Here is a 1,640-nt window from a genome sequence, read left to right as displayed (position 1 = left end):
TCATAAGTTAATTGACATTCTGATTGTGTTCATTATATTAAACTTAAAATTATATATATATAAATACAAACACATATAATGAATGTATATGGAATTGTGAAAGTTATGTGCATCAATGGAATTTAAGCATTTCTATAAAAAGTATCAGGTATAAACAAATAAAATAATTTTATGGCCATATAAGTTAAATTTGTAAAGTTTATTAGAGACAAATGAGATAGGAGTGTGGTCATCTCAACACTTTAACATAGTAACAATTGAAAATTCCCTCTGGGCTTCCTAAGGGTGCGTATCCACTCTCCTGTAAGAACTATCATGGAGCCACAGAGTTCACTGTTGTCACACTTGAAATTCTAGCAGAATGTGATATCTACAATTTAAGACTATATCTAAGATATTGGAGCATCAGAACTAATATAGAAATTAAAGGAAGCTATGAATGAAAGATAAGTTGAGATTTGAGTTAGGGAAAGAACATGGTCCTCAAAATTTGAAGTGTTCATAACAGTGAGCTTTATCAGAGATGTTTAATAAAACTATACATAAAGCTTAATATCCCTGTCACCCGAAGGACCACCAGAATGGCTAAATAGTAGAAAGGAGAGCTTTTCTGGTGATACTGGTTTGCAGGCTGGAAAGAGAAAGTCTCCACCTCTCTCTTTGAAGAGAGGAAAGACAGGTTAGGTTTTATGCCTCACAAAGTTGGTATCACACACATTCAGCAGGTTTGGGACAAAAGCTATGCATATTTATGATGGGAGCTGAGTCCATGCATGGTGGGTAGACATGTATGTAACATACATTTCATGTTCATTTCAAGGCAGGGTCTCAGCATTAAAATGAAGTGGAATTTGACTGTAGGACAAAAGGGAAACTATAGGATACAAAGACTGTGTAGCCCATATAAGCTGGTTGAAACTGGCTTAAGGTCTGCAGTAGCTTATCTGAAGCGAATTTTTGTAAGTCTGGTCCTTTGTCCCATCAGAGTTGTAGTGACTGTGTTGTAAATCAGAGCTGATAGCTCCTATTGTTAGGGAGTTTAGCCATAAGAATTTAGAGATTTGCCAGGCCAGCCAGGCTCTGAACCTTGGACCTGTTGGTACCCTTGTTTCCTTAACCTTTGGGTCTGTCTTAGTTGATAAAGGAGTGTTTATGTTGGTATTTCAGATTACACCCGTTTACTCTGATAAGGTTTATTGGAATTAAGCATGATGTCAATCAAAAATGTATGAGAATTTAAAAATCTTTGGCAGGCAAAAGTACACATACATACACATATAAATATACAAATATAAATACTTGTGAGTGTTTGTGGCTGTTTATGATTTTTGTATGAATCTGTGAAAGTACTATATTTGAATACTAAATCTACATATGCACTGGCATTCTTTTAAACTCATTATCTTAAGTTGGATTCCTTAGGCAACAGAAGCTGAGTTAGGGATTTGAGTGCAGAAAGTTATTGCACAGTATCCTTGGGATCGAAAAACTGTACAAGAGCAATGGAAATAGCATAAGGGGGAAGAAGAGGTAAATATGACATAGGCAGAAGGCAGATCTTCCTATACCCATAAGCCCAAGGGATATCTGGAGGAGAAACAGCAATTAAATGTTTTCTAAAATTGTGTCAAGGGGGCTGG

General features: G+C 35.9%; 1 annotated feature.

The window, feature by feature from the left end:
• Positions 569-1,321: an enhancer, noted in NCBI's record as "OCT4-NANOG hESC enhancer chr10:57738855-57739607 (GRCh37/hg19 assembly coordinates)". NCBI's record gives its function as "activates a minimal SCP1, AML or CMV promoter by ChIP-STARR-seq in naive and primed H9 embryonic stem cells {active_cell/tissue: H9 hESC(naive and primed)}" and the evidence as "EXISTENCE:reporter gene assay evidence [ECO:0000049][PMID:30033119]".

This window comes from Homo sapiens, chromosome 10 (genome assembly GCF_000001405.40).
Source record: "Homo sapiens chromosome 10, GRCh38.p14 Primary Assembly".
Lineage (NCBI taxonomy): Eukaryota > Metazoa > Chordata > Mammalia > Primates > Hominidae > Homo > Homo sapiens.
This window is presented reverse-complemented; position numbering and strand designations above follow the sequence as displayed.